Source organism: Homo sapiens, chromosome 6, assembly GCF_000001405.40.
Source record: "Homo sapiens chromosome 6, GRCh38.p14 Primary Assembly".
NCBI lineage: Eukaryota > Metazoa > Chordata > Mammalia > Primates > Hominidae > Homo > Homo sapiens.
This window is the reverse complement of record NC_000006.12, coordinates 80,973,909-80,981,323: the sequence shown is the minus strand read 5'-3', so window position 1 is coordinate 80,981,323 and position 7,415 is coordinate 80,973,909. Positions and strand designations below refer to the sequence as shown.

Below are 7,415 nucleotides of genomic sequence, written 5' to 3'. Positions count from 1 at the left end.
GTATTGTCACAAAGTCAATTGATCAGTTAGGGTGGGATGGGAATGGTGGAATGTCATCAGTTAAGGCAGGAACTGACTATTTTCACTTCTTTTGTGGATCTTCAGTTGCTTCAGGCCATCTGGATGTATACATACCAGTCACAGGGGATATGATGGCTTAGCTTGGGCTCAGAGGCCTGACACTTTCTTCAAAAACATTTTATCCATAATTATTTATATATTTATTTTTCATTTACTGGCTTCTTATATTTTGAACCTCCACATTAATAATTTCTAAAATTAACAAAAATTATTCTTTTTTCCAATAAAGAATACATTTATTTGTCATATTTTATATAAACTTAGGAAGCAAGAAATCCTGAACTGCCCACCAGCCATTAGCATTCTAGAGATGAGAATTATTTCATAATTATAGGATTTTTAACTATACATAAAGCTGACTAAGCCATTTTTTTACCATTTAAAAGCCTATAAAGTGATTTATTTAGGTAAAAATCTTAAATTTTAGAAGACACAATATTCTCTTGGAATTTATACATTTATGCTAGTCTTATCTGTTTAATTTATGAGCAGTCTTTTATAAGTCAATTTGACAGCATGCTAGACATAATATATATCACAATATCTGTATATACATATAAACAACAACGTTAAACAAAGCAACCTATACAAAACAGCTGGATCTAACTTATTTATAAAATTGGGACATATCTATCTGGCCAAATTTTGTCTGCCCTGATATGTATGGAAGATAGGAAGAGACAAGGAAGGGGATCCCATAACATTACATAAGGAAGGCAGGGGGCAAACTGTATTGCTCAAGGCAAGACCTGAGTCTCTGAGCCACTGGAGAGCTCACCCACTAGCAGAGAAACCAAAGAAAAATGTTTAGGAGGCCACTTGTCTGCCACTGTGGGAAGCTGTCCATTGACTCAAGGGCCTGAAACCCTCAGTAAACTTACTTGAGCAAGGCAGCTTGTTTGGGCTAGTAGAAGAAGGTTAGCTCTTGTATTGATGGGGAGTTTTTCCTTTTTTCTCCCTCACCAGGGATGGTTAGGACATTCTCATTGCCAGTGGCTCTTTTGCTTATAGTAAGCACACTGATTCTGACTCAGGGGCTGGCAATTTGGGGACTCTTGTCTGGGCATCCCAGCTGCCAATCGTATAACAATGTTTTGGTAATTTTGGTTCATTTTGAGGTGGTAGGGGATTTAAAGCAACTATTAATGATTACACTTTTTGGCTATTTTTTTTTTTCATTTATTTTGCCCTGCCGCTATTGTTGTAAACTTTAAAGACCACATTTAAGTTGGCTTATAGGGATTTAAGTTCCCATTGATGCTTTCTGTAGCTTCTTCCTAATACCGGGTGCACATTGAGTAATAAAATGTATACCTAGGATAGCTCGCCCTTCTGGGAAGTCTGGGTCTTCATTAATATATTCCCTGAGTGCCTCAACTAAATGAGCCTGAAGCAGAGTGAGATTCTTATCTTTTCCTTGTCTTATTTTTCCTACCTTGTCACAATTAACTAGCCTAACCACACCCTTTTTTTTTTTTCTGCTTTTTCTCCATGGCGCAGCAAGCAGATGACAATACTTGCAAGTCATGAGAAGTTCAATGAAAGAATATGGTCAATTCAACAAATTTCTCTATAAACATTTTTGGATCTTTTGAAAACTGGCCAAATTTTCCTTCTATAAAGCCAAATCACACATAGAAAAATGACACATGTTCTCTATGTGTTTATTTTTGTTAAATATCTCCTGAAATGGACACAGGTTTGATTTTAGAGGCTGATATGGGGCCCCATTTCTGGTGCTACTGGTCAGGTATACTTTATCAGGAAGAAGTAGGTATAGGCTGGGGCCAGTTGGATAAAGGGCAGGGGTGCTTGATGACTTCGGGGTGGAATCCTTCATTAGATAACTAGCAGGTTATCTGTCAGAATTGGGGGACTGAGGAGATGATGGCGGGGGTGTAGGCCTTTTAGGGGGAGCATCTAGGAGGAGATATCTTAAATGTGGCTTCTTGGGGCCAGGCAATAACATGAGCCAGTAAAGGGTCATAAGAGCCCATGTCTAAGGGACCTTTTTCTATTTTTCTTTTCTATTTTTTTACAGAATAAATTCAATTATAAAATATTATTATAACATAAAGTATCATTTTTAGGCCAAATGTGTTGGTTTTCTAATTTGTATTGGACATAAACAGTGTCACAGTAGAAAATGAGGTTTTTTTGGTCTTGTTTTGTTTTGTTCTAATGAAATTTGAATTTGTTCCATTAGCCTACAAGACACCCTAGTAGTGAGTCCTCCAGGATGCTCATTATTTTTTACTGGACACAGAAAGTTTTTAAGTCTAATTAGAGGGAAATCAACTGGGCCCTTGCTATTTTTCCCTTTTAGATTTTCACTTTCTGCAAAGAAAGTATATGTATTAAGGCATTGTGAAAGTGAAAATATGAGAAAAGTATTTTTATTAAACTAAGTATAAAGGAAACATGTAAATAAAGTGACAATAAGAAAAGAAAATGCTGTTATGGAAAATGATAACTTTAGAGCAGAAATCAAGAAAAGCCAAGACCAGGATTCCCCTAGAGTGGATCTCCAGCCCACAATCTTAGAGGAAATGCCAGTGCCAAAAACCCCGGAGCATCTGGGGGCAGCCAACAATACCAAAGGCTGAAAACATGGAGTAACTGTATCAACCAACGAGTGTCCCCACACCAAATGCTGAAAATCCTGGAGTATCTGGCAGGTGGCCAACTGTGAACCCCAAAGGCCTGATTGAGGCAAGAGAATACCATGACTCTGGTGTCCCAGAGTCAAAACAACAGGAGATCTCTCACAATCAAATATCCTGCCTTAAATAATTGCCCAAATACAGTTAGCAGGGAGCTAAAGCAAAATCCCTTTGAACAAAGCATACATTTTACAGCAGAAAATAAAATGGCCAACAGAAAAATAAATTGGCGTTAGATGACGAAGGATTGAGAGAAGGGGTGACAACAATGAAGTTGTTCATGTGTGTTTTTGTCTAGGGCACCCAAATGGCAGGGGACATTGAATTGACTACTTAGCCAAAGGTCTCTTTACCTGGTTCACTCAATACTGTGGGAGTTAGAGGTGACACTCATCTGCAAGGAGCCAAAATGGCATTTACCATTCTCTAACTTGCGGCTGAGGTGAAGGTCTCCTCCCTAGGTTTCCCTGGCTTGGGCAGGCTTTGCTATTATGAGGAGATCACTGCACAGTCTTGTAACCAGCCAGCCAGAGAAGCAGTTCTCACACAAAGTAGAACTGTGGCCACTCACCCATCCACACAGCCCTACCACCTGTCAGGAAAGATATGGCTTTTAAGATGATTTGGCTAGTGTTAAAACTCTTTCATGTTAACAGCTTTTTTTTTTTTTTTTTTTTTTTTTTTGAGACAGGGTCTCACTGTGTCACCCAGGCTGGAGAGCAGTGGCGAGATCTTGGCTCACTGCAAGCTCTGCCTCCTGGGTTCATACCATTCTTCTGCGTCAGCCTCCCCAGTAGCTGGGACTACAGGCATCCGCCACCACACCTGGCTAATTTTTTTTTTTTTTGTATTTTTAGTAGAGTTGAGGTTTCACCATGTTAGCCAGGATGGTCTTGATCTCCTGACCTCGTGATCTGCCTGCCTCGGCCTCCCAACAGCTCTTTACTGTTATAGCTCTGCAACTTTGCTTGTCATAGCACCAGTTGCCACCTTCCAGCTCTCTGTCTCACCAATTATTATCTCACTGACTCTCACTAATTGCCACCTCTTGTCTCCTCTGGCTATCTCATCAACTGTCAGTTGCTGCTTCTCACTGCCTTGCTGTCTTTCAGTGTTTCTTGTTGTCTTGCCCCTCCACCAATTAGTGATTGCTACCATCTCAGATGTCTTGCCATCTCTCTGCTGATTGTCACTCTCTTGCTATCTCACCACTGATCGCAGCCACCTCCTCTGTCTCACCTCTCTGCTGATCACCACTCTCTCACCATTTTGCCACTGATTGCCACTGTTTCATTGTCCTGTTAGTCACTCACTCATCTTTGTCCATTTGTGGTCGCCAGATGATGCAGGACAGACGAGCCTGAAAATTGGGGCTTAGCCTGAGAGGATTCTTGGCTTTGCCTAGGAAAGAATTCAAGAATGAGGCAGTGGCATTATACAGCAATATTTTATTAAACAATACTGCTCCTTGGAGGGTAACCTAACTCATAGATACTAATCCCAGATTCAGCACTGTAAGGGCTATTGGCAACTGTATTTATATTCAGTAAAGTCCACTTTCAAGTACATCCATAGTAAAGGGCAGGTCAATGCAAATTGAGGGGAGGATTATTTAGAACTTTCTAGGAATGGTGCTGTAACTTTTCAGTCATTGCCATGAAATGGGTGGTAAGTACCCAGTTATTGCCATGGAATTGTAAATATCATGGTGCTGGTGGGAACATCTTGTGCCAACAAGGGATGCTACGAATTGCTTTTGTCATTATACGTTATTCTTGCCAGTTTTTTCACTTCCTCTGTCTGGATCAGATTCTGTTTTGGCCAGCAGGATTGTGATCTGAAAACAAGTCCTGCCTGTCTCCTATGTCATATTCACGAGTAAGACCTCTTTTCCCTAAGGCATTAAGAAATTAAATAATAACAAAAGAGATACCATCCATAATATCTTCATGATGGCTGTCATCTATAATCTAGGAATGATGGCAAGAGATGCTGCTATTGAAGTGGACTCCCTGATTTGAGTAAGGGCGATGGAATTCTGAAGCAAAGGAGTCCACGTGACAATGACTAACCCTCAGAAACAATGCAAGCACCAACATTGCAATAAGCATAATGGCTGGAGGAGAAATTAAGAGTATTTTGACATATAGGAATCTGAGAATAGTTTTCTTCTTTAGAGTAAGCTAAGAAAGGTTTAGCTTATAGATGATATACTATCTATATAACCAACAGATGTTACATCATCTATATAACCCCAAATCCCTAGGCATGGTAAGCAGATACCTTATTTGAACCACTATCATCTAAAGTCATGAGTTCCCACCCTGTTAGGAGTTATTTACAGAAGGGGAGTCTAGTCTCCATAAGAGAGTGCTACAATAAGGCTGTCATGTTGTGGAAGCTCAGAATAATAATTCCCCAAAACACATTCTTGTACTAATCTATGGAACCTTTGACTGTGTTAGTTTACATGGTGTATTAGTCCATTGTTTCATGCTATAAAGAAATACCTGAGACTGGGTAATTTATAAAGAAGAGGTTTAATTTGCTCATGGTTCCACAGGCTGTACAAGAAGCAGGAAATTTCTAATTACAGCAAAAGGCAAAGGGGGAGCAGGTACATCACATGGCTAGAACAGGAGCAAGAGAGAAAGAGGGAAGGTGTCACACACTTTTAAACAACTAGATCTGGGAAGAACTCACTATTGTGAGGATACTGCTAAGAGGATGATACTAAACCATTCATGAGAAACCACCATCATGATCTAATAACCTCCCACTTAAGCTCCCGCCTCCAACATTTGGGATGACATTTAAACATGAGATATGTGTGGAGACACAGATCTAAACTATGTCATTCTGCCCCTGGCCCATCCCATATCTCATGTCTTCTCACCCTGAAAAATACAATTATGCCTTCGCAACTGTCCCCCAAATTCTTAATTCATTAAGCATTAACTCCAAAGTCCAAAGTCTCATCTGAGACAACGCTAGCTCTTCCACCTATGAGCTTATAAAATCAAAAAAAACAAGTTAGTTATTTCCAAGATGCAAGGAAATTATAGGCATTGGGTAAATGCTCATATTCCAAAAGGAATCCAAAAATTCCAAAAAGAATTCCAAAAATCAGCTGCAAGAAAGGGGCTACAGGCTGCAGGCAAGTTTGAAACCCAGTAGGGCATTAAACCCAAAATAATTTAATTCCATGTTCTACATCTCGGGCACACTGTTACAAGGGGTAGACTCCTAAGGCCTTGGGCAGCTCTGCCCCTGTGGCTTTGCAGTGTTTAGCCCTAGAGGCTGCTCTCACAGGTTGTTGAGCACCTGTGCTTAACACTGAGCATGCAAGCTTCCAGTGTATCCACCATTCTGGGGTCTGTAGGATGGTGGCCCTCTTTCCACAGATCCACTAGGCAATGTCCCAGTGGGGACTCTCTGTGAGACCTCCAACCTCACATTTTCCGTCCACACTGCCCCAGTAGATGTCCTCTGTGAGGCTTCCAACCCTGCAGCAGGCTTCTGCCTTGGCACTCAGACTTTCTCATATAACCTCTGAAATCTAGGTGGAGGGTGACAAGCCTTATTCAGTCTTTGCACCTGCAGGCTTAACACCATGTGGAAGCTGGCTTATGATAGCTGTGCCCTCTAGAGCTGTAGCGTGAGCTGTGCCTGGGCCCCTTTGAGACTGGAGCTACAGTGGCTGGAATGTGGGGAGCAGTGTCCTGAGGGTGTGCAAGGCAGCAAGGCCCTGTATCTGACCCATAAAACCATTCTTTCTTCCTAGGCCTCAGGACCTGTGATGGGAGGGGCTGCCAATCTCTCTGAAATGCTTTTGAGGCCAGTTTTCCCATTGTCTTAGATAATAGCACTTGGCTTCCTCTTAGTTATGCAAATTTCTTAGCAAGTGGTAGCTCCGCAGCCTGCTTAAATTTTTCTCCCAAAAAAAGTTTATTTTTGTTTTTTTTTTTCTCTGCCACATAGCCAGGCTGCAAATTTTTCAAGCTTTTATATTCTGCTTTCCTTTTAAATATAAGTTCCAACTTTAAGTTATTTCTATGCTCCCACAGATGAGCAAGGGCTGTTAGAATCTCCCCAGCCACTACTTGAATGCTTTGCTGCATCAGATACCCCAAATCATCATTCTCAATTTCAAAGTTCCATAGATCTCTAGGGCAGGAGCACAATGCAGGCAAGTTCTTTGCTAAGGCATAGCAAAAGCGACCTTTTCTCCAGTTCCTAAGTTCCTCATTTCCATCTGAGGCCTCCTCACTTTGAACTTCATTGTCTGTATCACTGTTGAAATTTTGGTGACAACTATTTACCCAGTCTCTAATAAATTCAAAGCTTTATTTCATCTTTCTATCTTCTTCTGAGCCCTCCAAACTCTTTCAATGTCTGCTTATTGCCCAGTTCCAAAACTGCTTTCCCATTTTCAGGTTTTATAACAATGTCCCCCTCCTCAGCACCAATTTTCTGTATTAAGCTGTTCTTGCATTGCTATAAAGAAATGCCTGAGACTGAGTAATTTATAAAGACAAGAGGTTTAGTTGGTTCACAGTTCTGCAGATATTAAAAGAAGCATGATGCTATCATCTGCTTGTCTTCTGGGGAGGCTGCAGGAAACTTCCAATCCTGGCAGAATGTGTAGGGGTAGCAGGTATGTCACATAGC

The 7,415-nt window shown here is 40.9% G+C and overlaps 1 annotated feature.

Moving 5' to 3' along the window:
* Positions 6,448-7,179: an enhancer, noted in NCBI's record as "OCT4-NANOG-H3K27ac hESC enhancer chr6:81683862-81684593 (GRCh37/hg19 assembly coordinates)". NCBI's record gives its function as "activates a minimal SCP1, AML or CMV promoter by ChIP-STARR-seq in primed H9 embryonic stem cells {active_cell/tissue: H9 hESC(primed)}" and the evidence as "EXISTENCE:reporter gene assay evidence [ECO:0000049][PMID:30033119]".